The following is a 1,543-nucleotide window of genomic DNA, read 5'->3' on the forward strand; positions in this document are numbered from 1 at the left end:
CACAGGCCCAGCTAAGATGTGTAGAAGGGTTCCCTCCTAATACCCGAGACCCCTTGCTGTCCTTCTGGGTCTCATCTTTATCCTACTCAGCTTCTTGTGGCCCCAATATTATACCCCAGACTCATCCTCCTTCCCCTTAAAACTCTGGCCCAAGCTGGGCCAACAAGCCCTTCTCTTCTGTCCTGAAAGCAGAACTGAGACAGCTAGACATCTCAGCATAGGGAAGTTGTGAAGAGTAACCAGAGAATTGGAACCAAAAAGGCAAACAGCATCACAACAGCCACATTTCCAAGGAGGAGCTTCTGATGCAGAGAGAAATACAGACTCACCCCACAGGCCAGGGCCACCTCCCAGGGACCTGGGTTCCCGGGAGCTTGTCTCCAGTTCTGCCATCTGTGCTCAGCCTCCATTAGTGCTGTGTCTGTACCTATGCAGTGAGATCACACACTCCTGCCAAGCTCATGGGATCCCTGTGAAAATCAAGGAAAACATACCCATGAGACACAACTGAGACATCTTTAAATCTGATAAACTACAAGATGTTTCTTTCCTTTTGTTGGTGTGTGGGTTTGTTTCTCTCCTTGATCTATTACCCTTGGACACAATTCATCATATGGGTCAGAGGAAATATCTGTCAGAACCCCAGCAGACACCTGCCTGAAAAGAGAGAACTTAATAATGGTTTAAAAAAGAGGCTGGTGGGCCAAGCACGGTGGCTCATGCCTGTAATCCCAGCACTTTGGGAGCCTGAGGTGGGCAGATCACCTGAGGTCTGGAGTTTGAGACCAGCCTGGCCAACATGGTGAAACCCTGTCTCTACTAAAAATACAAAAATTAGCCAGGCGTGGTGGTGGACGCCTGTAATCCCAGCTACTTGGGTGCTGAGGCAGGAGAATCACTTGAACCCGGGAGGCAGAGGTTGCAGTGAGCTGAGATCATGTCATTGCACTCCAGCCTGGGCAAAAAGAGCAAAACTTCATCTCCAAAATAAATAAATAAATGAATAAAATAAAATAAAAAAGAGGCTGGCACAGAACCAGGGCTCCCTTCGGCTGCACTTGCAAACCTCCAATGAAGGCAAACAACTTACTGCACCCCAAATCTCAATTTAGAAAAGGCCCACATTGGCCAGGCACAGTGGCTCACACCTGTAATCCTAGTACTTTGGGAAGCCAAGGCAGGAGGATCACTTTAGGTCAGGAGTTCAAGACCAGCCTGGCCAAAATGGTGAAACCCCATCTCTACTAAAAATATAAAAATTAGCTGGGCACGGTGGTGCGTGCCTGTAGTCCCAGTTCCTCTGGAGGCTGAGGCAGGAGAATTGCCTCAGCGATTCTCGGGGGGGTGGAGGTCGCAGTAAGCCAAGATCACACCACTACACTCCAGCCTGGGCAACAGAGAGAGACTCTGTCTCAAAAAAAGAAAAGGCCCATGTCCACTTGTCAGGCTTACCTGCCTGTGACAGGTGACAGCCTCCAGCCTCCTTCCCCCTAACTTGAGGGACTGAAGTGAGTGGCAGCGTCCCTGGCTGAGGAGGTATTTT

At 49.6% G+C, this 1,543-nt stretch overlaps 1 annotated feature.

The window, feature by feature from the left end:
- Positions 274 to 353: an enhancer, noted in NCBI's record as "active region_27880". NCBI's record gives its function as "activates an Ori minimal core promoter by ATAC-STARR-seq in GM12878 lymphoblastoid cells {active_cell/tissue: GM12878}" and the evidence as "EXISTENCE:reporter gene assay evidence [ECO:0000049][PMID:35858748]".

The sequence above is a fragment of the Homo sapiens genome, chromosome 8 (assembly GCF_000001405.40).
Source record: "Homo sapiens chromosome 8, GRCh38.p14 Primary Assembly".
Taxonomy (NCBI): Eukaryota; Metazoa; Chordata; class Mammalia; order Primates; family Hominidae; genus Homo; species Homo sapiens.